We start from the raw sequence: 23067 nt of genomic DNA, 5'->3' as shown, positions 1-23067 counted from the left end.
TTGTATACTTAAAAATGGTTAAGATGTTATATTTTATGTATTTTACCACAGTTTTAAAAATTGGAGAAAACACTACTGATCATAAAGCATATAATAAAGACTTATCTTACCTTTAGCTGATGCCAGTATGAGACTTATAATATGTTCAGGCTTTCCTTAAGTTGCAGGTTTTTAGAAATGATTGGTGACTGTATAGAAACTGTACTCTTATAATTGTGGGAATACTACTTATTGATTATTGGAGCAAGCTCTGGAATGCATTTACAGTAATTTTTTAAAAATTCTTAGGGCCAGTACCAACAAATGTTAGAAAGGTGTTTAGAAATTCAAGTATAATAGGATCGTACTTTTCTTTTAAACTTTGATGTTGTTTCTGGAAATGATGAATATTCACTACGTTATTTTGATTTTATGTATATCCTTCTATATGTTTTTCTATTTAATAGATACATTTAGATCACAATAAGAATGTATTTGAGTGCCAATAAACCTGACTTACCCTTGATTTTTGGTGTTCTGTTCTAAATTTAGATATCCAAAGAGAAGAAGAAAAAGTGAAACGATCTGTGAAAGATGCTGCCAAGAAGGGCCAGAAGGATGTCTGCATAGTTCTGGCCAAGGAGATGATCAGGTCAAGGAAGGCTGTGAGCAAGCTGTATGCATCCAAAGCACACATGAACTCAGTGCTCATGGGGATGAAGAACCAGCTCGGTAAGGCTGCACTTACCTTACAGTCACCTCATAATGCCGGGGTTGCTGTTATTATCAACACGGGTTCCTTGAATAGGAAAAACTCAACTCTGGTTTTTATTCTTTGTATTTTCTTAGTGTTGAGTGTTGTAGAAATGCAAAATATAATAATGTTGTTTGTTTTCTTTTGTTAGTATTTTCTAAATAGTAATGAAATCTACATATAAATCTGCTTTGTTTAGAAGTTAGAATGTATTGAACAGTGTTATCACGTGGCCTGAGAATTGAGTTGTAGGAGTAAGAGGCCAGCCTAGATGTTTGGAGGGAGGATGAAGAAAAGAGCTTTCTACCTTTGTCCTAGGTCCAGAGCAGCCCCAGGCAAAATGTTACAACAGGCTGTGGGGCTTTGGTTCACCTCCTTTTCTGCTTCATCTCTGCCTACCTAATGCTTCCTCACATCTTAGGAATCTGTAGACCACGTGATGGGTATTCAGCATACATGTGAACTCTCCATTTTAGATGACTTTTAGGAACTCATGATATTTAAAATAGGAATAAACATTGTTTCCTTTCAGTGTCCAGTACAGTACTGTTTGTGGTCGTTCATCTAGTTGGTTTCTTTTCTTAATTTCCATTAAATTATGAAGTAGTCCTAACTCAGAACTATAGTTCTTTGGTAATGGCAGCAAGTGACTGTCAGATATTTAGATTGAATACAGACTCAGAAATCATGGAGAGCCAGGCATGGTGGCATGCAGTTGTAGTCCCAGCTGCTCAGGAGGCTGAGCAAGGAGAATTAAGTGCTTGAGCCCAGGGGTTTGAGGCCACAGTGAGCTCTGATTACACCTGTGAATAACCACTGTGCCTGAGCCTGGACAATAAATATAGCAAGACTGTGTCTAAAAAAGAAATAAATTATGGAGAAATTTTTCACTGAAGAATATTTTCAACTCTCTGTCAGATACTTCATTGATCACACTCAAAAGAAGTTAGAAGATGAAGTGTTTTAATTTATAGGATGGTGCCAAATGGGTTTCTAATGCATTATTTGGTTGTATTTCGTTCTGAAGGTATTTTCTTCACATTCAATTTTAACATTCGAATGTGGTTTTAAAATATGCCTAACCATGAATGTATCATTAGTTTCTTTCTCGAGATACTGAAGAGAATAATCATGGGCTGGGAAAGAGTAAAAAAAAAATGACAAAATGTTTGTACCACATCATCCTTTAAAAAATCTATCAAGATTATCTTTTATTTATTTATTTTTGTTTTTTTGAGATAGAGTCTTTCTCTGTCACCCAGGCTGGAGTGCAGTGGTGTGATCTCGGCTAAATGCAATCTGCGCCTCCCAGGCTCAAGCGATTCGCCCGCCTCACCCTCCCAAGTAGCTGGGATTACAGGTGCCCACCACTACTCCCAGCTAATTTTTGTATTTTTAGTAGAGACGGGGTTTCGCCATGTTACCCAGGCTGGTCTCAAACTCCTGACCTCAGGTGATCTACCTTCCTCGGCTCTGCAAAGTGCTGGGATTACAGGCATGAGCCACCACTTCCGGCCTATCTTCACTTTTAAATGCCATGTTATTACAGCCCTAAAATGATGATTTTAGGCTCTTGAAATACTGGATATATCACCTAGATATGCCTTTTGATCAAACTGAGTATCAGTGCCATAAAGAAATAGTTTAATCCTGTCATGTTGAAAGCTCAAGTATTATTGTCTTTTATAGCCAGCTTGAAAAATTCAGATTGATTCTCAATTTTTCCTGCAACATGCTCAAAAGACACATGTTCAGTTGACCATGATAAGCTTGTTTAAACATTTTTCACTCTTTCCTTATTGCTTATTTTGCCTTTTTCCCTCTATGAATAAAGCAGTGTATGCACAGCCTCTTTTTTTTCCAATTGTAGAGATGAAAGCAGAGGATAATGTAATAAGTCTTTATGTACCTATTATACAGAACTAATAAAATTTATCTTTTTTTTTTTTGGTAGAGACGGGGTTTTACCATGTTGCCCAGGATGGTCTTGAACTGCTGAGCTCAAGTGATCCACTGCCTCAGTCTTCCAAAGTGCTGGGATTATAGTTGTGAGCCGCTGCACCTGGCCCAGAACTAATACAATTTAACGTTTTGTTGTATTTGCCTGCTTCTATATTATATATATATAAAAAAAGCATTATTACAAAAGTTGAAGCTCCTTTAATACACCTTCCCAGTTTCATTCTCTTCTCTCCCAACCTCTCCAGAGAAAGCCACTATCATGAATCTTAAAATTTTTATGAATGGTATCATACTATAGATACCATTCTGCGTCTTTTTGCTCCATTTATCATCGTTTTTGAAATATGTTCATGTGGATAAATGTAGGCAGGGTGCAGTGGCTCATACCTGTAATGCCAGCCCTTTGGGAGGCTGTGGCAGGAGGATCACTTGAGCCAGGAGTTCAAAACCAGCCTGGGAAACATAATGAAACCCTGTCTCTATAAAACAAGACAAAACAAAACAACAGCAACCACAATAAAATTATCTATGTGTATGTGTATATATATATAGAGAGAGAGAGAGAGAGAGAGCATGCTCTAGTCCATTGATTTGAACTACTAGATGAAATTACATTGATGTATCACATTTTATTTTTCTGTTCCCCTTTTGATGGATATTAAGGTTATTTTCAGTTTTTGCTGTGTGTAAAGGTTTAGGACAGTTGTATACTCAGAAGTAGAATTGCTAAGTAAGTAGCTGGGTTTAAATTTTGCTAGAATTACAAAATTGCTCTCCAAAGAAGCTTTACTAATTTATATTTCCAGCAGCAGTTCATGAGTTCTTTTTTTCCATACCTTTTCACCTTTTTGACTTGGTATTGTCAGACTTTTTTATTTTTGAGAAATGTTATCTTGTGTTAATAGTTCTCTCAGAGCTACTAAACTCGAGCATTCTCTTTTCTTTGCCCTTTCTTCCTGTGTCCTGATTCCAAAATACCTTTTCAGCCAGTTATCGTCATAGTAAGTAATCATTAGTCTGCATGCAAAAACTCTTTTATCATACACTTTCAGCAGTATACATAACAAAAGCTTCCCTGTGCACTGCACATAAGAGCCTATCGTTTAAATGTACACCCATAACAATATGTTAAGTTGTTCATTTCATATATACTGTAGCTTTACCAGAATTGAAAAGTAAAGTATTTGCTCTTTGGCCTCTGAATGTTAAGGTGCTCGAGGGCTCTATTCTAGATCCTCTGCTCCTTTCCATCTTTACTCCCAGTAGTCGATCTTATCTAACCCCATGCCTTTAAATGCCATTGAGTTTTATCTTCAGGGCTGACTTTATCTCTAAGTGCGTAATTGGCATCTCCACTCAGATGTCTCAAGGGGTATCTCAAAATTGATATAAAAAAATCTTGATTTTCCTTCTCCCACCACTTTGTCTTCTTCCAGTCTTTCTACTATGAGAATTTTTTTTTATTTTAATTTTTGGCATCATTAAAAAATTAAACATATGTATACTCTGGGTTACCTTATAATTGATGAGTTTCATGAGACTTGAATCCCCCATTTGCATTTTTGTTTATGAGGTTTGGTGTCAAATTTCACTGTGGCAATCCAGTGTGAAAAGAGCAAAACCCAACTTACTGTGTAAATGTCCTTGCCGAGGGAATCCCATCTGATGCAAGGATTTTAAGTAGTTTTTTTTTTTTTTTTTGAGACAAGATCTCGCACTGTCGCCCAGGCTGGAGTGCAGTGGTGCCATCTCGGCTCACTGCAACCTCAGTAGTCTTAATGGAGAAAAGCGGGAAAGGAGTCACCAGACAGATAGATGAGAACAGTATATATATGCATAGTTATCAAGTATTTTACCTGTAGCGTAACCCACATTATAAGTGGTGTTTTAGTTCAGCAAAGTATCACATGAAATTTACGTTGTTAATGTGAATTTTATTGATTTTGAAGTTTTTTGTATTTAATTTTGTTTTTGAAATAGTTTTATAATTGTACAATTATAGGCATTGGGAATTTTTACCCAATTAGTAAAATACACATAATTAAAGCCAACAACAGAAAGTTATTGGTAACAGGGGAACTGCTAACATTTTATTTTTCTTCAGTGGAGGACTGAATCAGTAAATTATGATTTATTTAGGTTTCAGCATAGTATTCAGCTACAGAAAGATGTTAATGATGCATCATTTAATAAGAAAGCAAGTTGCAGAACAGTATATATAGCATGATAGCACTCTGTAAATAAGTAGAGGATGTGTTTGTGTAGTTGTGTAAATAAATGATAAATGGATAAACAGAGGTCTGAAAAAGGTTCACTTCTGAGGAGAGAAGTTGGATTGTTTGAATCATCCTGTATTGTTTTCTCTTTAACTTCTTATTATGGAAATATTAAGCATATACAAAAGCAGAGTGAATACCCAAATGAATCTCTATGTACCTATCACCCAGCTTAAACAATTGTCAACTCTTGGCTGATTTTACTGAATTTATATTCATCCCACCTAGTCCCTATATTTTCCTCTGGGAATCCATATACATTTATCCCTCGGTGTCCACAGGGGATTGGTTCCAGGATCCCCACAGATACCAAAATTTGTGGATGTTCAAGTCCCTTATATAAAATGAGGTAGTATTTGCATATAACCTACACATATCTTCCTGTATACTTTAACCTCTAGATTAATTATATAATACCTAATACAATGCAAATGCTATGTAAATAATAGTTATACTATATTGTTTAGGGAATAATGACAAAAAGCTTATACGTGTTTGGTACAGACACAGCCTTTCATTTTCGTTGTTGTTGAATATTTTTGATATTGAATATTTTGTTGTCTTTGGTTGGTTGAATTTACAAACACTGAACCCACAGATATGGAGGACCAACTGTAATTTCATCTATAAGTATTTACATATGGATTTCTAAAAGAAAAGTGTTGTATCCTTCTATTCCTTGGTGCATCCTTTCAGTCCTGGGGACTTGTATCCTACAGTGCTTGGATGTGTGCATGTACATTGCCTTTGCACTGTATTTTCTGTTTCTTTCTGAAAGCAAACAGTCTTAGTTATTGGATTTCTCAGACTGTTCCTTTAATTTTCTTACCTTTCCCATGTTCCATTTTGAGGATAATAATAGTTAGTACCTTCCTCATAAGCAGGTTGTGAGGCTCACTTCATTGCCTGGCATAGTAATTGCTGTATATATAGGTTCTAAATATTATCATCATTATCATGATCAATTTTGTCTGTGTAATCTACTTTCTGCAAAATTTCCTCAACTTTATTTTCCATTTTTTCTCATGAATTCTTTATTTTGGCTATCTTAACCTTAATTTTCAAGAAAGTTCTCAGTTTCTTATTTTTTAAAAAATCATTCCATTCTTCCTCGTTGGTGCAGTATTGTCTTTTGTTAATGACAGTTGTCTTTTTGAAATTTTCTTACATTCTGTGTATTGTTTCTCAGAACTGCTTCTCCCAATCATCCTCTTCTTTCCTATCCCACTTCTCTTTTTAAAGAAAGAGGTGGGAGGGAGGGAGGCAGAGGAGAGAGTGGAAGGGAGGAGGGTAGGGGAAGCTAGATTTAAGTATACGCTTTCTGAGTACCTGCCCTCCCTCGTCTTTTCAGGCATATAGACTGAGCTACAAAAACCAAAATGTTAATTCATTTAATAAATATCTCTTTTAGCCCTATTATGTGCTAGGCATACTTCTGGGCACTGGGGTTAAAATCGTGAATATTACAGGCGCAATCACTGCCCTCTAGGTATGGGGTAAATTGCAGATGATTGAAGAAATATAATAAAAAATAAAAATAATAAATTTAATAATCAAATGGATATTTATAATTGCTTACTGTGATATGCACTAGGAGAACGTGAAAGAGAAATGTAGAGTCAGGAATGGCTCCTTTCAGGCACTGATGAATCCTGAAAGAAGATGAACTATTAAGTTTGTGGGGGTGTGGGAAGTGGTGTGCCAACTTGGATGGCTAGCATGTGTGAAGGCCCTGGGGCCAAAAAGAACTGTGCATTCCCAACACGGAAGGAAGGTCTGGGAGGTTGGGTACCGAGCAAGTGGGAGGGATAGCTGGAGAGGATGGGCAAGGAGGTGAAGATGACAATTTTTACAGCTGTTAGGAGAGCAATGCTTCTCCAAGACAAGTTCAAAATAAGACGTGCTGTAGCAATGCAGATAAAGTGCAATGGGAGTTAAGAGGAAAAGTATTTTGGGGAGAATCAGGGCAGCGTCTGAGTGTAGAGGGATTAGGTATACAAAGGCACAGTTGAAATATTTCAGGCTATGTTCAGGAAACAGTTTGACAGGAATGCATGAAGGGGAGCAGTGGGAGGTGAGACTGGAAAGGTAAGTTGGAGTCAGAGTTCTGAGATATCAGGCTGAGGAATTTAAATTATTCTGTAGACATTTGAAAGCTTTAGCACATTATAAGCACAGAGCACAGGTGCAGGGAGGGACAGTGCAGTGTGATTGGAGGCAGTGGGACCTAAGAGGTAATGGAGTGGAGTAGGGGAATGGAATAGGTTAGTCTAGTGAGAATGGAGTAGAAGACAGAAGAACAGGTGCAGAGTGAAGGTATAAACAAGGCTGAGATGCTCTGAGCCTTTGAGCCTGGAAAGAGACTGCAGGGCCATTAACAGACACTGGAAACACAGGGAGAGGAACAGGTCTAAGAGAGGAATCTTCACTTGGGCTGACCAGACTAGCCCCAGGAAATCAGTGGCTATTTGGTTCACCTGGCTTCTGCAGCACCTAAGCTTTTGCTGACAGGAAGGATTCCTAGACAGGGTTGTTGTGTTGGTTTATAGTGGAGTGTTGCTTGTTGGGAGATTAAATACAGCAGAGTAGGTACGAGGATAGAACTTGGGACAAGGCAGGAAGGAAAAGGCTACATTTTGGGAGTGGAAAAAGAGAAAACTAAGTGTAACCAAAGTTCCTGAGATGTCTTTGTCATCTTTCTATGGCCCCATCCCACCCCTAGCCTGTTGCTGCATTGAAAAGCCAAGATTTGACAAAGTCATTCCTCTTTCTTAAGATGTTCCCCTATTAAAATGCAGATGCCTCTGGGGAGGGGTAATCTATTCAGCCTTGTCACCTATTAATACATTGTCATGATTAGGTGCTTTCCAGGTGACAGCTTTCTGACAGCAGCTCCTTGCAGTGTAAGACAGATGATGAGTGTGTTTTGATTGGAAGAGAGGGTTAAGGGAGAGGTTCAAAGGTGGGGCAGGAAATAGAATTACCATATGCTCCAGCTATTCCACTTTTGAGATATACCCGAAAGAATGGAAGGCAGGGACTCAAATAGGTATTTGGATGCCAGTGTTCATAGCAGCAGCATTCACAATAGCCAAAAGGTAGAAGCAACCCAAGTGTCCATTGACAGATGAATGGGTAAACAAAATGTGATATGTCTGTATAATAGAATATTATTCAGCCGTAAAAAGGGAGGAAATTCTGACTTATGCTACAACAATATGGACGAATCTTGAAGGCATTATGCTAAGTGAAATGAGCACCTCAAAAAAGGATGAATACTACGTGATTCCACTTATATGATGTACCTTGAATTCTCAAATGTAGAGGCAGAAAGTAGAGTGTTGGTTGCCAAGGGTAAGGGGAAATGGGGATTGATTGAGTGATGGTGCAGAGGTTCAGTTTGGGAAGATGAGAAAAGTTCTGGAGATGGATGGCGGTGATGGTTACACAAAAATGTGAATGAATGTACCTAATGCCACTTAACTATATACTTAAAAATGGATAAAAGTTACAAATTTTATGTTATGTATAATTTTGGGTTAAAATAATGTATTTTATGTTATGTATATTTTACTATTAAAGCAGTGGGGTAGGTGTGAGTGCTGAGCTATCGTGGGATTCTGAGTGGCAGAGATGCATGAGAGCTCCAAGCTCTTATATAGTTTTCATGCGCGTCCATGTGAAGAGACCACCAAACAGGCTTTGTATGAGCAATAAAGCTGTTTATTTCACCTGGGTGCAGGTGGGCTGAGTCCAAAAAGAGAGTCAGCAAAGGGTGGTGGATTATCATTAGTTCTTATAGGTTTGGGGATAGGCGGTGAAGTTAAGAGCAATGTTTTGCGGACAGGGGTGGATCTCACAAAGTACATTCTCAAGGGTGGGGAGAATTACAAAGAACCTTCTTAAGGGTGGGGGAAATTATAAAGAACCTTCTTAAGGGTGGCGGAGATTACAAAGTACATTGATCAGTGAGGGTGGGGCAGAAACAAATCACAATGGTGGAATGTCATCATTTTTACTTCTTTTGTGGTTCTTCAGTTACTTCAAGCCATCTGGATGTATACGTGCAAGTCACAGGGGATGCGATGGCTTGGCTTGGGCTCAGAGGCCTGACAATAGTGATGACAGTGTGTCTAGAAGGACAGGCCATGCAATAAAAGGGAGGCCCAGGTAGGATAGTACATCCACCTAGCTACCTTTGTCCTTTTGTTTTGTTTTGTTCTGTGCTTTGATTGGAGTACCTGAAAATGAATTTGCAAGGTATGGATCTTTGGGGTCAAGCATAACGTTTGTGAAATTTAAACCAATTTGTTGAATCAAAACACATTTTTAAAGACTGTTCTAGTATTTTTAACTTATGTGTTACAGACTTTGATATGATTTGGCTCTGTGTCTGCACCTAAATCTCATGTTGAATTGTGATCCTGAGTGTTGAAGGTGGTCCTGGTGGGAGGTGATTGGATCATGGGGGTGGTTTCTAATGGTTTAGCACCATCCCCCTAGTGGTGTCTCATGATAGAATTCTCATGATCTGGTTGTTTGAAAGTGTATAGCACCTCCCCTATCTCTCTCTCTCTCTCTGTCTCCTGCCGGCCAGTGGAGATGTGCCTGCTTCCCCTTTGCCTTCCACCATGGTGTAAGTTTACTGAGGCCTCCCCAGAAGCAGAAGCCTGTACAGCCCACAGAACTGTGAGCTGATTAAACCTCTTTTCTTTATAAACAACCCAGTCTCAGGTATGTCTTTACAGCAGTGTGAGAATGGACTAATATTGACATTGCTTTTAAAAATGCTACAGAAATATATAAAATAAAAGTAATTGTTCACCAATTTCTTTGTCTTGGCCTCAGCCCCCTTACCCACTGATAACTACTATTCAAGTGCTATATGAACTGTCCTGCAGTTTGCTTTTGTTAGTCTAACATTATGTCATTTTATACATACCACACACATTTATTACTCAGGTCTACAAATTTGAGCCGTTAAATAAACGGATTTTGCATTTAATATTAAATTGTGATCTAGCATATATAAGATTAAAATTCAGTTTCTTTAAGGCTTGCTGAATAATAAGTAATTTCCTAAAATAAATACATATCTGTGTCATGTATTGTTCATGATGTGTTTATTCAAGGGTTTTAAGTTTTCCACTCCAAAACTTTTACAGATTTAAGTTCTACAGTTCATAATTGTCTTTTTCAAATGAAATATTTTCCCCTGCATAAACAAAATACAACATTAAATGAAATTTTTAAAGGGAGTGAAAATCATCTGCCTTCCTCACAAACTGATTGTTTCATATTTTAGTTGTTATTCATATGAATGTTTATTTTACACTGTATGAATGTTTATTTTCATTATACTCATATACTCATATGAATGTTTATTTTATACTCTGTAAATACCATATAAAAACACATCATTGGCATTAAGTGAGAGTGACATGAGGCAGTCTTCCCTCTAGAATTTTAAAGTCCAATTCCTGTTAGCAAGCTGGATCCTCAGAAACCCTTTTCCGTCCTCCAGTTTCTTCCCACAGAAATGGCTTTGCTGAGCTGTTTTCATAGTATTCCTTTGCTTTTTTTTTTTTTTTTGAGATGAAGTTTTGCTCTTGTTGCCCAGGCTGGAGCGCAGTGGCACAATCTCGGCTCACTGCCACCTCTGCCTCCTGGGTTCAAGCTACTCAGCCTCCCAAGTAGCTGGGATTACAGGTGCCCACCACCATGCCTGGCTAATTTTTGTATATTTAGTAGAGATGGGGTTTCACCATGTTGAGGAGCCTGGTCTTGAACTTCTGACCTCAGGTGATCCACCTGCCTGGGCCTCCCTAAGTGCTGGGATTACAGGCGTGAGCCACCGTGCCCGGCCCTCCTTTGCTTTTTTATGGTGGATAAGAAACAGCCACATGGAGATTATTTCTATAACGTCTATACAATCAGTGGTGCAGTCAATAAAGATTATATACTTTAATATTCCTTAATATTAAAAGCCATGGAATACATTTATCTTAGAACTTAGCCTGAAAAAAAGTTTTTCCCAGTGAAACAGTGTTGCTTTTACCAGTGAGTGTCCTGCAACCCAAAACATGATTAACTTTCATGTTTTAGCTGTTGAGATACAGCTAAACTTTATCTCAGTTGCAGTAGCTTTTATTAGCCTACGCCACTGATTCTCAACTAGGGGCATTTTTGCCCCTTGGGGGACATTTGGCAGTATTTGGGGCCATTTTTGGTTGTCACAACTAGGAGGAAAAGGGGTGCTGCTACTGGCATCTAGTGGGCAGAAACCAGGGCTGCTGCTGAACACCCTAGAATGCGTAAAACAGCTGCCTCCAACAAAAGAATTACCCAGCCCGGACTGTCAATAGTGTGGTTGTTGAGATACTCCAGCCCACATTTATGGAATCAACTCACACTTTTGAGCTTTTTTTATTTTATTGTATCTGCCATATACATCTTTTTAATAAACTGCTTCAAGTTATTTTTTTTCAAGTGGAGGCATGTAAGTCATAAATAAACGTGACTTTAAATTTTTAAAGTTTCTGAAATGTACATGGTTTCAACATTCTTTTGTGACATCCTTTTGGTTTTGGTTCACCATATTATAGAATGTTTGTACTATCTCCTTTTTCTTATGATTTTTATCTTTCTGTTCATTATTATTATGTGTTAGAGATTTCTTTGGAAATCATGATGTACCTTTTAACTTTTCTTTTTTCTTAACCTTGTTTCAAGGAAAAGTTGTCTTACTCTCAAGGGATTTTTACTTTTGAGGCTCAAATGTTTTTAATATCCCTTCTCTGAGCTTTCATTTGTCAGAAATGTCATAAGATTTCATATTTTCTTATAATCTGATTCATTGTGTTTGTAAATGCCTGTTTTAAGTTGGCTTTTAAAACCCACACTGTTGGTCTAGTGTGTCAATATTTTTACTTCATTTTATTTTTGAGATAGGGTCTGTTGCCCAGTCAGGAGTGCAGTGGTGTGATCATGGCTCTCATAGCCTCAACCTCCGTGGCTTAGGTGATCCTCCCACCTCAGCCTCCTGGGTATCTGGGACTACAAGCACGAGCCACCTCACCCAGCTAGTTTTTTGTAGAGATGGGGTTTCACCATGTTGCCCAGGCTGGTCTCGGTCTCCTGTGCTCAAGTGATCCGCTTGCCTGGGTCTCTCAAAGTGCTGGGATTACAGGTGTGAGCCACTATGCCTGGCCCTATTTTTATTTGCTAATTTTTAAAAAATTTAACTGTAATTCCCATGAGAGCCTGTGATAGGTAGAGAGAATTCTCTGTTTTTGTTGCTTTCATTATTGGTGTCCAGATTCTTTTCAGAATATTTTCACTGGGTTCCACATCTACTGATTATGAAACTAATTTTTTTTTTTTTTTTTTTTTGAGACGGAGTCTCGCTCTGTCTCCCAGGCTGGAGTGCGGTGGCACGATCTTGGCTCACTGCAAGCTCCACCTCCTGGGTTCACGCCATTCTCCTGCCTCAGCCTCCCGAGTAGCTGGGACTACAGGTGCCCGCCACCACACCCAGCTAATTTTTTGTATTTTTAGTAGAGACCAGGTTTCACTGTGTTAGCCAGGATGGTCTCGATCTCCTGACCTCATGATCTGCCCTCCTCAGTCTCCCAAAGTGCTGGGATTACAGGCGTGAGCCACTGCTCCTGGCCATGAAACTAATTTTTTAGTTATTTTGCTTCCAGCGTTAGTTGTTGATATTACAACATGGTCATATTTATAGCAGAAATTGTTTTATGCATACAATATCCTTTTTTCATTTGTATCAGGTGTGGGAATGTAATGTTACTTTATTTTTATATGCTTTAATTTTTTTTAAATTAAGGCTTATGTTTTTAGAAAATAGTAGACTCACATACATGTAGTACACCTGTATTTGCAAGAAATAATACAGAGAGATTCTGTGTACCCTTCACCTAGTTTCCCCCGATAGTAACATCTTGCAAAACCAGAGTACAATCTCACAATCAGGATATTGCCATCGATGCAATCAAACTACAGAACATTTCCATAAATACAAGAATCCGTCATGTTGCCCTTGTATAGCCACACGTACTTTCCTCCCATCTCCACCTTCTCCTTAGCAGCCACTAATTCTCCATTTCTATAATTTTGTTACTTTAAGAATGTTGTATAAATGGAATTATGTAGTTATGTAACTTCTTGGGATTGGCTTTTTTCACTCAGCATACTTCTATGGAAATTAACTCAAGTGTTTACATGTATCCATAGTTCATTTCTTTTTATTGCTGAGTGGTATTCCATTATATGGATATACCAGTTTATTTAACCATTTACCCATTGTAGGCCTTCTCAGTTGCTTCCAGTTGTTGGCTATTATGAATAAAGCTGCTATAAAAGTGTACAGGTTTAAATTCCCACCAGCCAATGTATGAGTGATCCTGTTTTTCTACATCTTCTCCAACATTTGTTGTTGTCACTATTTTTTATTTTAGGCATTCTGGTAGGTCTATGGTGCTGATTGTGGTTTTACTTTGCATTTCCATAGTGGCTAATCTTTTCATGTGCTTATTTGCCATCCGTATCTCCTCTTTGGTGAAATGATACTTCTCTACTTTTCTGTGTCTTCAAAATTCTCTTTGATGAAATGTTTAAAAGTGAACCCTTTTTTATTTCTGGTTTTTAATTTCTTTTCCTACATCAGTTGCTTTTTGTCACCAGTATGTGGATGTTCTGTCTGTAATTTAAAACACTGGGAGAATGAGCTTCTATTTCCTTCTCCCCACTTTTTGCCATATAAATTTTTTTTTCTTTTTTTTTTTTTTTTTTGAGATGGAGTCTTGCTCTGTCGCCAGGCTGGAGTGCAGTGGTGCGATCTCGGCTCACTGCAGTCTCCGCCTCCCGGGTTGAAGTGATTTCCCTGTCTCAGCCTCCTGAGTAGCTGGGATTACAGGCGTGCGCCACCACACCCAGCTGGTTTTTGTATTTTTTAGTGGAGACGGGGTTTCACCATGTTGGCCTGGATCTCCTGACCTCGTGATCCACCCACATCAGCCTCACAAAGTATTGGGATTACAGGGGTGAGCCACCATGCCCAGCCAAAAATTTTTTTTAAATAAAGAAATGTTCTGGAATTTTAATGATCAATACAAAAAAGAAAAGAGAAAACATATTTCTGACCCAATACTAAATCTTTCATTCTATGTAGGAGCACTTGAGTCTTTATAAAATCACCTCAGTGTTAAATTCATTTATTGTTTTTTTCAACAAATATTTGATTGTTGGCTGTGTCAGGCACAGTGCTAGGCACTGGGAATAAAATAGTGAGTTGTCCTCCAAATAAAAGGAATCTAGTGGCTGGGCACAGTGGCTTACACCTGTAATCTCAGCACTTTGGGAGGCTGAGGCGGGTGGATCACCTGAGGTCAGGAGTTCGAGACCAGCCTGACCAACATAGTGAAACCCCACTTCTACTAGAAATACAAAATTAGCTGGCATGGTGGCGCACACCTATAATCCCAACTACTCAGGAGGCTGAGGCAGGAGAATCGCTTAGAACCCGGGAGGCAGAGTTTGCAGTGAGCTGAGATCGTGCCACTGCACTCTAGCTGGGCAACAGAGCGAGACTGTCTCAAAAGAAAAAGAAAGAAAGAAAGAAAGAAATCTAGTGTTCTCTTGGGCAGCACATATACTAAAATTGGAACAATACTGAGAAGATTAATGTGGCCCTGCACAAGGATAAATACAAACTTCTGAAGCATTCCATTTTTTTTTTTTTAACTTTGTCCCCCAAGCCTCTACATATGGGGCTGTCAGTGGGACTGGCACTCCACACTGAGGGAGGACCATGTGGAGAGACCCTGAAGTTGGAGAGAGCCTGAACCCAGAGAGATCTGCAGACAGGCCTGGGGTGGGGAAGGATTTCAGCAAAAAGAGCTGTGACCAATGAAATGCTGCCCAGTTTATTTCATATTCCTCTCTGTGTTACTTTGATCTTTGTTGTTTTAAATGTGGTCAACTAGCTTTTACATTACTGACTTAGTAATGTTTTCTCTAGAATTTTAACCTTTTTTGGGGGATGTGGGGAGGTTTTATAGTAAAATATATGTACGAAAATTTGCCATTTTAACCATTTTTAAGCAGGAAATTTGGCATTTTAATTAACATTTTAATTAAATATATAACGATACTTTGAATGCTCTAGTCTTTTGAAGATTTTAGATAGGAATTTCTGTTTCAGTCTAACACATGCTTTCTGGGACTTTCTACCATTAAATAATGCTTTGTTTATAGATTGATTCATTTATTCATTCAGCACCTATTTGTTGATTGCATTCTATGCATTCAACATATTGTTAACACAGTGGGACGCAGTCACTACCCTGATGCCATTTATATTTTAGTATATAATGTGTGTTCTTGGTTTTTGAATGTGGTATTTTAAGATTAAGCCACCCATGCCTATTGAATGTGAATCCACTGTGGTCTTAATGGGTTTGTACAGTCTATTTGAGGATAGTTTTATACTTTAAATAGCACGTGAGCTCATTAGAATGCTATCTGGCAAAACTATGATTAGAGTTTTGTTCAGACTTTAGAATTAGTGTTACATATACTTCATAAAATATAATGGATGATATTTTTGCTTTCTTTTGTTATATTAACTAAGGAATATGTTCAGCAGCAAATAACGGAAAACTTGACCACTGTGGCTTATATTAGAACAGAATTGTGGAACTAGGCCTCTTTCACCTCTCATTGCCTGTCCCTGCTTCGAGCTGGTTATCTTGTACATGGGACATGGGCCTTTCCATCAGTGCTTTCTCAGAGTCAGGAGCTGACCAGCAGCACACCAAGGTGTGGTCATGCATCCTAACCAACTCTCACTCATCTGGGACATTCTTAAGATATATTTATAAACTGCTTCAGCAGTAGCACTTTATATTTGTATGTGTGTGAGAGTTTACAAAGCTCTTTGACATATGTGATCTCATTCAATCTTCACGAATAAGGAAAATAATTCAGCTTGCTTAAGATGGCAGTGAGGAAATGGCGGAGCTGGGGTTCAAACCCAATTATCTCTAGTCTAAGTCATATGTGCACTAAAACAATCAGGCAGGAAAAAAGCCCAACGGCTCTCTGGCAGGTTGGTTTTGTAGATTCTGGATGGAATGCCTGATGCCAGGTGTTGCTGCAGTGGAGTCCTTTCAGTCTCATGATACAAATGGCAATCTTGAATGCAGACGACCCTTCTATTACTCTTGATTTCACCTTCAGGGTATAGTTGTTTTTATTTTTTAGTAAACTTATTTTTTGAGCAGTTTTAGGTTCACAGCAAAATTGAATAGAAAGTACAGAAAATCCACATACCCCTGCCCTCACACTTGCATAGCCTCATTCACTGTCAACATCCCACACAAGAGTGGTACATTTGTTACAATCAGTAAGCCTCTATTTACATGTCATTATCACCCAAAGTCCATAGTTTACATTAGGATTCACTCTTGGTGTTGTACATTCGATGGGTTTGGACACATATATAATGATATCCACAATTATAGTATCATACAAAATAGTTTCACTGCCCTAAAAATTCTCTGTGCTGTTTATTCATCTTTTTTCCCTACTAACTCTTGGCAACCACTGATTTTATTACTGTCTCCATAGTTTTGCCTTTTCTAGAATGTCATATAGTTGGAATCATACAATATGTAGCCTTTTCAGACTGGCTTCTTTCACTTAGTAATATGCATTTAAGTTTCTTCCTTGTCTTTTCATGGCTTGAAAGCTCATTTATTTTTAGTACTGGATAATATTCCATTGTCTGGACGTACCAGTTTGTTTATCCGTACACCTGCTGAAAGACATCTTGGTTTCTGACAAGTTTTGGCAGTTATGAATAAAGCTGCTATAAGACATCTGTGTGCAGGTTTTTCTGTGGACATATTTTTAATTCATTATGATAACTACCAAGGAGCACACTTGCTGGATCATATGGTAGGTGTGTGTCTGGCTTTGTCTTCCAAAGTGGCTGTACCATTTTGCATTCCCATCAGTAATGAATGAGAGTTCCTGTTGCTGCACATTCTCGCCAGCATTTGGTATTGTCAGTGGTCTGGATTGGGCCATTCTAAGGGGTTTTTAGTGGTATCTCATTGTTTTAATTTACAGTCCCCAAATGACATAAGATGTTGAACATCTTTTCATATGCTTACTTGCCATTTATATTAATATATCATGTTGGTGAGTTATCTGTTCAGGTCTTTTGCCCATTTTTAAGTTCAGTTATTTTCTCATTATTGAGTTTTACGAGTTTTTTGTATGTTGTGGATAGCAGTCCTTTATCAGATATGTCTTTTGCAAATATTTTCCTGCAGCTTGGGGCTTGCCTTTTCATTCTTTTGAAGGTGTGGCTATTTTTATTATGAAATAATTTTTACCTGCCACACCTTTTTTCGTTTTTCCTTTTGGAACATAGGAAATACATTTTTTAAATACCTGTCTTAGTTTCTTTTGTGCTGCTATAGCAGAATACCTGAGACTGAGTAATTTATTCAGAGTAGAATTTTATTTCATGCAGTTCTGGAGTCTGGGAAGTTCAAGATTAAGGTGCTGGCAGGGTTGGTTGTCTGGTGAGGGCTGCATTTTCTGGAGGGTAGGCATGCTGTGTTCTCACGTGGCAGGAGGAAGGGCAACGGAGAACGAACTGCCTCCTGTAGGCCCTTTTCTAAGGGCACCTAATCCATTCAGGAGGGTGGAACCTCATGGCCTAATCACCTCTTAAAAACTCCACCTCTTAATACTTATCACAGTGGCAACACCTGAATTTTGGAGAGGACGTATTCAAACCATAGCAACCACCTTTGTCTTGAGTTTCAAGTGTACAACATACAATTAGTCTGGCCTTTTAAAAATCCACTTACCTAATCCATTTTGGTTGGTTATCAACTTGAGTGTTTTTGTAATAAGTTTTATTTCTAAGTTTATTTTTGTGTCCCCTTTTTCCTACAACATTGACTCTTCCCTTCTTGTACCTTCTAATAATCAGAAATTTATACCTTTTTCAGAATACAAATGATTCAGTGTTTAAATACTTCTCTAGTCACAGTTTTTTCCATGTCTCCCATCTGTTTACTTATTTTCACTAATTCAGCCCAAAAATGTTTACTGAACACATACCATGTTCAGGTACTCTCTCTGGGTTACAGACTCAGGATGCAAATAATAATACAACTTATAATATGTATAAGGATGTATCAGGATGCAAATTATAAAATAATAATACAACTACAGGCTCATGTAGACATCAGGCTTTATAAACAAAACTGGATGGAATTTGCTTTATTTTTACCCTTTTCTTCCCACCTTTATATAATCAATAGTAATTTTTAACTTTTTATAAAATTATAAAATTTTATAAATTTATAAAAGTAAATTTATAAAAGTAATTATAACTTTTTTATCATTTTAATGGCATATGTAATTTATTGCTTATTTCAGCCTCACAGATTCTTGGCACTTCCTCTGTCATTCTACTAATATTAATAAATATTTTATTTTCCCATTTCAGTGTTAAGAGAAATGAAGTGTTCTCTGCAACTAGCAAACTCCCTTACTCCTTTAGAAAAATCACAGTGCTATGAATGTCAGACAGGCATTTCTCTGGTCACTCTTGTTTTCCCTTAGATGTGAAAGCTTCCTAGGGTCTGGATTCCACCAGAAGTAAACCTGTAGTGACTCCTGGTTTAGCCAGGAGGAAGGAAGTCTGTGTGCCGGTTTTAGGGAACAGCTTGTATATGACAGCTCTCAGAACTTCAAGTCTCATGAAATTCCAAAACAGGTTTAGATGGTTGCCAACTCTTTGACATGTTAAAGACATTGAGGGTGGGGCAATGATCTTTTGATACTACCGTGATTTCTTATAAAGAAGATTGTAGTAGGCATACAATCTCAGACTACAGAAGGTTTTTCTCTAGTAAGGAACCACCTCACATTGACACACATACACATATTCACTGTATCTGTCCTAGTTTCTCTCATTTTTCTGAGGACCAATGATAAGCTGGCTCCATACTGAACAGATACTGTCCATAGGCTGGTGTGTGGGGAGCTCTGCTCGGGTCCTGAAGCCTTCTCTTTCCTAGTGTGGCCTTTACAAGGTCTGGAGCTCTTTCTCCCATTTGTGATTTTCCTGGGTGTCACAGTTACTCCAAGCTGGCTTCCTTTCCTAAAAGTCAAGAGTGGCTTCAGGCCACTCTCCAGATTGGTCATGTGGTGTGCATGCTCATTGAATTCACATCAGTAGTAACCCAGATAGCATACAATTTAGGAAAGTCAATCTCTTGGTCAACTAGCACAGTAATTAATTTAAAGGCACACAAATAACTTCGGGAGTCCATCTGCTACTGCTGTCATTTATTGGAATGGCTCATAATTTGGCTGTCTCTCTCTATTCCATCCTGTTGAACAATCCTGACTGTACACATTCTCTTTCAGCGGTCTTGCGAGTGGCTGGTTCCCTGCAGAAGAGCACAGAAGTGATGAAGGCCATGCAAAGTCTTGTGAAGATTCCAGAGATTCAGGCCACCATGAGGGAGTTGTCCAAAGAAATGATGAAGGTGACTTGGGGCTAGCCCTGCTTTCCTTTCCAAACCCCAGAGTCACTCTAAACAAGTAACAGGGGGCTAGGGATGAGGGTGGGTGGGGATGAACAGACTACACCTGCTAGACAGAATTAATTTTAAGGAGTAGCTGTTAACATTGATTGAAACCATTTGAGCTCAGCATAGCAGAGGCTGGGTCAGATTGCCAGAGTGTTCTGTAGAAGAAGCAAAAGTCTACCCAGAGCTCTAGAGGAGGTGGGGGATCCAAGGAGCAACCATTTAGGGATCAAGGAAATAAAGTTTGCAGGGTCCAACATAGGCAAGGAGATGGAAAGAAACTTGATTTACAAAAACAGGCAGAGACCGTATTTGGCCTGCAGCAGCTGTAGTTTGCTGATCCCTGTTTTAAACTAAAAAAGGAGAGACTGAGAATCAAATAGAAAGTGCGTAAATACCTGCCACCCCCAGGATCAGGGTCTGGCAAGGACCTGTACTCGTGGCCCTCAGACAAGGACAGGGATAAAGAAGGCATTGCTGCCGAGCCCCGGCAGCCACATACTGTCCTATCTCCTAGTCTGTTCTTCTAGCCATCGTGAGAAGTAGGGATTTTTGTCCTCGTTTTACATAGACAGAAACTGAGCTTTTGGGTCATCAGGTAGTTTCCCTAAGGTCACCTTGGTTGTAAGTGAAGATATAGAGTTGGGGCACTGCAGTCTGACCTTATCACGTGAGTTGTCACAGAGGAAATGAGGATGGGAGGTCCCTCACACAGATGCTGTTTCATGCTTCAGACCTGTGGCTGACAACCAAGAGTGTACACCTCAAATTCTTGTATAGAGGCTGTGCATAGAAATCACCTCCCTTCCTCTCAGGGAATTTCATTTATGAACTTGAATTATGTACAGGGTTTAGGGCATGGGAGAGAGGGGCTGGAAAAGAAAATTGCAGAAAAATGACATAGAAAGCCCAGGGCCCAGGTTGTTTGAATGAGAACTCCTTGGGCAGTAGCAGTAAGGAAGGAACTGGGTCAGGAGGGTATGTCCTTTACAAATAGCATGTAGGTGTCTTGCCCCCAAGTTGGTGATCACTGTTCATCTAGAACCAGATAAGAAGATCATTCTTGGAGTGCCTTCAGGCTTGCTCATTTTAACTCAGCCACCAGGATCTGAGAGGGAAGCCTTTTTCAGAATCTGGGATCTTTTTCATAATGGTTTCTGAATACTGGGAGTAATACAGATTTGGAGGAAGGCTTGCGTGTAGTACATTCTGAAGGCCCCAGTAGGGGCTCAGCTCCTCAAGGGCAAGAACACATCTTAGTCATTCTGTTTATCCCAGGCCTATTGTGTGGCACAGAGCAGGACTTTGATGAATCGTTGCTGATTGAATGAATAAATAAATGACAACTTCTACCTCCAGAGTGTGAAGGGCTATTACAATTAGGATTCTGGTGGACTCTTTTTAACCAATTAGCAAGCATTTATTGCACTTCTTTTATGGTAGCCCCCAGTACTAAGATGATCCCATTCAGGAAGGCCCTAGGGTTTCACCTGGGTGAACATGAATATGAATTTATTTGTTCATTTTGGTTGGGAAGAACGGATCTGAGGATGGGCAGAATAGGGTGCTAGTTAGATTCAGGCAGGCAGGATAGAGGGTTGCTTTAAATCTGAACCCTTCAGCATAGTCACTGAGAATTGTACCCTGGCTGAGTACAAGGGAGCCAGGGCCGGAGCTGCTACATGTGACCTTCTGCTCCTTGAATCACCAAAACATCAAGGTACAAAGCAAGGGACTTAGTTTTTTCAGGTGGCAAGACAACCAGGATTTTCTTTTTCTAGCAACTTCTCAGAAACCTGAACCCATGCCCTCCACCACAGCCACTCAGCACCCCCAGTACCTGTTCTGCCCAGGGATGTCAGCAGCCCTCTTGTTGACTTTGGAGGTTGCTGTTCCGACCCTTTGCTTCAGTAACAAAGAACATTCAGTAGGGCCCTATCTGGGAGTTGAGGAACTGCTGAGCACAAAGACTGCAGGGCTAGGTTGGGTTGGGCCAGTGTTAAAGCCATTTGCTTGTGTCCTGCAGTGGTGCCATGCTGCCTTGAGAACAGAGGAGGCTGACTGGCTGGCTCCTGCAGGCTGCCAGGCACAGGACTTCCAGAAAAGTGTCTGGCCTTTACCTTGTTGAGTCCAGAAGTATTGTCTTAGTTCTCCCAGGAGTGGGTGATCAGATTTTGGTTAATTGATCCTTGCAGACCTACCAGATTACCCCATTCTGGCAGATGTAACCTGGACAAGCTGGAGTCCTCTTCAGGCCTTTTTTGGCTTTTACCCTGCTGTTGGCATTTTTTTATCACGGCATCTACTACGGCTCCAACCACTTTTCATACCATATTCCAACCCCTGCGTTCACGGATTATATTTGCAGTGTTAGGACAGATGCTTCCCAAAACAGCGCTGGAAATACACTCATCTGTCAGTGAGCTGTTTCTCAGGTGCTGCCATTATATTAAGTCTGGGTTACTTTAGGAAGCTCTGCTGACAGCCAGTAGTAGCACTCCCCACCCCTAGGGTGTTAAATTTAGAGAGCCGTTTCCCTTTGGGGCTTTTGCATTTCTGCAGAGAGGACAACATCCAGTGTTTCCTTTGGCCAGCTGTCTCGTGTGTCAGCTCTTGAAAGGATAGACTGGACTTAGGCTAGAGCTCGGTCTAGGTGATGTGTAGGGTGTCTGATGGGAACAGATTTAACAGTTGACCGAAGTGACATATTTATTCTGTTTAGGCTGGGATCATAGAGGAGATGTTAGAGGACACTTTTGAAAGCATGGACGATCAGGAAGAAATGGAGGAAGAAGCAGAAATGGAAATTGACAGAATTCTCTTTGAAATTACAGCAGGTATGACCGTGAGATCCATCCTTTCTCCTCTCTTTTTATGGCCATTCTTCCTTCATTCACTAAATTAGCTAGTAGCTTTTTCTTTAGGCATTAACTCCCTTCTACATTTTTAACGTTTTACACTGTGCAGCTTATTTCTTGAAAAGTAAGCACAATATCTATAACCATCTTTTAAAAAACACAATTCTTAAAATTTTTAGAGTTTGCATGATTTTAAAGGAAGATACTGCTCTCATATACTGCTGTTGGGATTTTAAACTGGTGTAGACTTTCTTGAAAGCAATTTGGCCATAGCCATTCAAAAGCCCTTGCCTTCGCCAAGTGCGATGGCTCACGCCTGTTATCCCAGCACTTTGGGAGGCTCAGGTGGGGGATCGCTTGAGCCCAGGAGTTTGAGACCAGCCTGGGCAACCATAGCAAGACCGCATCTCAAAAAAATATATATTAAAAAAAAAAATTTGACCTAATAGATTGACTTCTGGGAGTTTAATGAAATAATTAAGAATGTGCTGAAATATTTAATTCAAGGATGTCTGTAGTAGCATTATTTATAAAAATGAAACGTTTGAGGGCCAGGTGCAGTGGCTTATGCCTGTAATCCCAACACCTTGTGAGGG

The 23067-nt window shown here is 39.3% G+C and overlaps 2 protein-coding genes and 1 pseudogene across 5 annotated transcripts in view; all 3 read left to right on the top strand.

Moving 5' to 3' along the window:
• The window catches only part of RNF103-CHMP3 (RNF103-CHMP3 readthrough), a 217693-nt gene that overhangs the window by 191194 nt on the left and 3432 nt on the right, over nt 1–23067 (top strand). The window contains exons 5-7 of the mRNA NM_001198954.1: nt 532–711; nt 19450–19571; nt 22336–22450. Coding sequence (NP_001185883.1) covers nt 532–711; nt 19450–19571; nt 22336–22450 — 417 coding nt within the window. The remainder of the gene's footprint in view (nt 1–531; nt 712–19449; nt 19572–22335; nt 22451–23067) is intronic.
• Nucleotides 1–23067, top strand: part of CHMP3 (charged multivesicular body protein 3) — a 60014-nt gene that overhangs the window by 33515 nt on the left and 3432 nt on the right. For 2 of the 4 annotated variants that reach the window (NM_001005753.3, NM_016079.4), the window contains 3 exons: nt 532–711; nt 19450–19571; nt 22336–22450. In NM_001005753.3, the coding sequence (NP_001005753.1) occupies nt 624–711; nt 19450–19571; nt 22336–22450 (325 nt within the window). In that variant the 5' untranslated portion in view covers nt 532–623. The remainder of the gene's footprint in view (nt 1–531; nt 712–19449; nt 19572–22335; nt 22451–23067) is intronic. The other 2 variants (NM_001193517.2, NR_036454.2) reach the window with 2 other exon arrangements.
• Nucleotides 14621–14725, top strand: RNU6-640P (RNA, U6 small nuclear 640, pseudogene; annotated as a pseudogene).

This window comes from Homo sapiens, chromosome 2, assembly GCF_000001405.40.
Source record: "Homo sapiens chromosome 2, GRCh38.p14 Primary Assembly".
Taxonomy (NCBI): Eukaryota; Metazoa; Chordata; class Mammalia; order Primates; family Hominidae; genus Homo; species Homo sapiens.
Note: the sequence above shows the minus strand (reverse complement) of the source record. Positions and strands in the feature narration are given on the sequence as shown.